Below are 3295 nucleotides of genomic sequence, written 5' to 3'. Positions count from 1 at the left end.
AAATATGATTGAAAGCTACATTTTTATATATTAGCATTCTATGCCCATTAGGTTTTGTTTTATTTCATTTTCCATAATTCAACAATATTTGCCACAAGGATAGTTTATAAAGCTTCCAAGATATGGGTCTGTTTTTAACTTTGCTTAGGCCATTCAGTGTTTATGTATATTTAAAATCCTTTTTCACCTTTGAATCTTTTTCCTCCTACTCTATTGTATTACTGCTTTGCTTTGGGATTGGATTTAATCTCACCATGTCTTATCAAAGGCTGCTTAAAATTCTCAATGACTATAGAACAAAATCCAGACTCTTTTCAGGCCTATAATGCTTGATCTATTCTGGCTGATCCTTCCATTTCATTTTGTGGACTATGTCTTGGTCATTAAAACCTCAGTTACACTGGCTTCTAAACATCTAGAACCTTCCAAGCACTTGCTGTTTCCTCAGCATGAAACAGCTTGCTTCTAGTTTTCAGATAATCAGCTAGCTGCTTCTCCTGCATCTTAGCTTGAATATCTTCTCAGAGAAACCTGTCCTAACCAGTATGTTTCATTATAACACCTGGTTTATTTTATGCATTGCTTATTCCAGTCTGTAATTATTTTATATATTTTTTTTGTTCATTGTTATTCTCTCCCATCATAACGTAAGCTACTTGAAGGTAGGGCCCTTATCTCTCTTGCTGACCACTGTTTCTCCAGCAACTTGTACATATCAGGAATTCAATGTTTGCTGAATGGATGGATGGATGAATGAATGAATAACAAAATTAAAAGTTGGGATATATATATATATATATATATATATATATATATATATATATATCTACTGTTATAAAATTTCCTGATATCTCACTAATAGTAACTTTATTTCTCTCCAGGATCATTTTTTGGATTTAAAACTAGAGAAGGACAGAAAGCTTTGTAATAAATGTCTGTTGAAATTAGGGGTTTAAGATTTACAAGGATTTTTTTTCATTAGTACTCTCTAATCCCCTCCTGGAGGTCACATTTTTCCTGTATTTTCTCATCCCACACAGTAGGGTTAAAATTTGTGCTTTTAAATGCTCTATATTAATTTCACTGATAATCATATTTCTATATACTTTGGTTTATATAAGACCAATGGAAGATTTTAAGGGGTGTTTAAGAAATTGTCTCCCAGCCATTCCTTTATTCACTACACAGTAGGCACTATGCAAAGAGACTCTCAGATGTTTAGTTACACTGAGAAATTATTTTGATTCTTACCCAGCTTGAAAGTCCTTAATATTTTCTTTAAAGTTATTTATACCATGAGAACCCAAATTATCACGCTGTCTGACACCATAAAATTTGATCGAGCTTTTATTTTTTCTAATTGGCCATATGAAATAATACAGGGCATGTAGGATGCCTCAAATTTATTGTTACTTCCTTGGTAGTTCAATACCAACTAGACTTAGCATGACCAAGTAAAAATATAAAGAAAACATTCAGCATCATTTTGTAATTGTCTGGAAACAGGAAGCCAAACTATTATCTATAGCACAGGGCAATCCCATTGTGGAAATTTCACCCTGACCGTACCCTCTTATCTTGTTCTTCTCTTACACACAGGTCATATTATGCACTGCTTTGTGCTAGTTTGACAAGAACTAATGTGGATGCTTAAATATTTTAAAGGCTGAACGCTTCTGAATGATAAAATACGGAGCTGATCAACTCTTCGTGTTGCGTTTGTGGTTAATGATAAAGTAATTTAATACTTCTCTCTTTTTTGGTCTGTTAGTAGTTTCAACAACAAACACTAAAGTTCCTTTAAGGAAAAATCTTCAAATAAGGCCATGCAATGACACTTTTTAACTACAGTTGTTTTTTATTCAGCCATAAAATCTATCTTTCATAAAGAAACCCACTTACATGTCTTACTTCAGTGAAGGTTATTTGTAGACTGAAGGTCTTTTCTTGTCAAGATATGATGAATACCATGTGTGAAGACAGAAGAGCATCAGACCTGTATTAGCTGGAAAACCCACTGATCTGTGAATAACCTAAAAAAGAAAACCTGAAGATTAGCAACGTCGCTTTTAAGAATGATCCATCAAATTCAACAAGCAGATTCACAGAGATGAATCATCTGGTTTCTTTTATACCTACTATACAGTAAAGGTTATTTCCTTTCTCTACAAATAGAAGTTTGAAAATAAAGGGAGGCTTTTAAACACCCCTTGGTATAAGTCAATAGTCTTAAAGTGTTTCTGATATTTTAGATATAAATCCTTACTAATGACAATTAAAATGGTGTTGCCTGTTCATTCAGTATTGGATTCAATATTTTAGGGAATCAGTCTCTGTTCTTCTGTTAGTGTGTATTGAAGGGAGACCAAATTCTCAGTATATTGCCTCAAAATTTTTTACACTAACTTTTAATTTTATGAGAAGTTAAAATATCTGTTGAAATTATTTTTAGGAGTTGCCTAGGTAGCTTACATAGTCAGTTACCATGTAGATAAATACAAATAATTAGGAAAGTTTCTATTCTGAATGCCAAGTCAATTGATTAAAAGCATAGAAGGTTTAGGGTAAATAAAAATCATTATATAGAGGTATAATTTTGTTAACAGTAAGTGCTTTGTTTCTATTTTTAAAATTTTAAAATAGATCAAAAAGTGTACGTTTAAAATATACATTGCATAGTATAATTTTTCTCAGTTCTAATGTATTGTGTTTGTAGTGGTTTCATTCATTTCTTTTCACATTGTATGGATCAAATAACTTAAAAACAGAAAGCACTAAAGAGGAATCACCTTAAGGATTTTTCAAATTTCTTTTATATCAGTGTTTTTATTAAACATGTCCTAATACAATTGAAGTGAAATTTATTTTATTTTTTTATTGATGTATACCAATATTAGACAACAAAAATAAGTACTTACACTGTAATACAGCTACTGAAACTGAATTTTTGTGCCTTATTTCCTAAGGAAGACTTCTGGCAGTGTACATACTTTAGTAAATCAAATTAGACATTGGGTGATTTTTTTGTTGTTGTTAAGCTAGCAGTAATTGAGATTTCATGGTGTTTTTTTTTAATTTCTTTTTAAAGATAGGTTTAACACAAAGGATAAATGCTTGAGGGGATGGATACCCCATTTTACATGATGTGATTATTATGCATTACATGTCTGTATCTCACGTGCCCTATATACACCTATGTAGCCACAAAAATTAAAAAACATATATATTTCATTTTGGAGGATGTCTTTTGGAGAATTTTTAACCATGCCTATTAAAATAATTAGTTTCTAACATG

General features: G+C 31.4%; 1 annotated feature.

Moving 5' to 3' along the window:
- Positions 1017 to 2987: an enhancer, noted in NCBI's record as "VISTA enhancer hs141". NCBI's record gives its function as "enhancer in: dorsal root ganglion[2/2] | eye[2/2]" and the evidence as "EXISTENCE:transgenic organism evidence [ECO:0001131][PMID:17130149]".

The sequence above is a fragment of the Homo sapiens genome, chromosome 13, assembly GCF_000001405.40.
Source record: "Homo sapiens chromosome 13, GRCh38.p14 Primary Assembly".
Classification (NCBI taxonomy): domain Eukaryota; kingdom Metazoa; phylum Chordata; class Mammalia; order Primates; family Hominidae; genus Homo; species Homo sapiens.
Note: the sequence above shows the minus strand (reverse complement) of the source record. Positions and strands in the feature narration are given on the sequence as shown.